Source organism: Homo sapiens, chromosome 13 (assembly GCF_000001405.40).
Source record: "Homo sapiens chromosome 13, GRCh38.p14 Primary Assembly".
Classification (NCBI taxonomy): domain Eukaryota; kingdom Metazoa; phylum Chordata; class Mammalia; order Primates; family Hominidae; genus Homo; species Homo sapiens.
Window position 1 is genome coordinate 75986626 of NC_000013.11, and position 794 is coordinate 75987419.

The 794-nt window shown below is 37.5% G+C and overlaps 1 annotated feature.

Moving 5' to 3' along the window:
- Nucleotides 360–429: a silencer, noted in NCBI's record as "silent region_5407". NCBI's record gives its function as "represses an Ori minimal core promoter by ATAC-STARR-seq in GM12878 lymphoblastoid cells {active_cell/tissue: GM12878}" and the evidence as "EXISTENCE:reporter gene assay evidence [ECO:0000049][PMID:35858748]".

Below are 794 nucleotides of genomic sequence, written 5' to 3' on the forward strand. Positions count from 1 at the left end.
TATTCTTTATTGTGTTCTTGGAGACTAGTGTAGTGTGGGGAACAAAATAGCCTCCAGGTAAATATTTGTTGATGCCTAAGTGGCTGCAATCAATTGGAAAAATTTAGCTAAAATGACTGGTTAATAAGACTCTAGTATTAAGGGAAAGTTGTTTAGAAAAATGAACATTTCTTCTGCATTGATGGTTCTTGTGTCTTACTCTGATCTCTTCTCATCCCTGGGCCTCATGGGCTCCAGCTGCACTGACCTTGCTGTTTTCTTCAGTAAGCCGTATGTTCTGCCTGGAGTCTGCAACACAGTATTATAGTCTCTGATATGCCTGACTGATTTCCCCTTGATCTCAAATCATCTAATCAGCTTTCAAGTTTCTGTTCCTCTGTGGAATCTGTCTTGACTTTCTAAGGGTGAGTCAAGTGGTTCCTAGGTTCCTGCACTCTCTGTATTACCTTTAACAGTACTTAGCACATCATCATTACTGCCTCTTTACTTATCTGTTGTTCATCAAAGAAATAAACTCCTAGAAAGCAGAGAGACTGAGCCTTGTTCACCCTTTGATCAGCACACACAATGGATGCCTAAAAATAGCCACTCAGTTAATATTTGTGAATCTTGTTAAAAAATATAGAGAAAATAGTATGTCAAGAAAAAATGTTTTAGAGGTAGAATGGGCAAACAGCAATCTGTTGAGAGAACTTTTTTATTTTTATGCGTTGATATTCAGGTAGTAAGAGCATAGCCTGAAGAAAATGGCAATAATAATGTTGTGTAAGCATACAAGAAATGATGGAATGTGT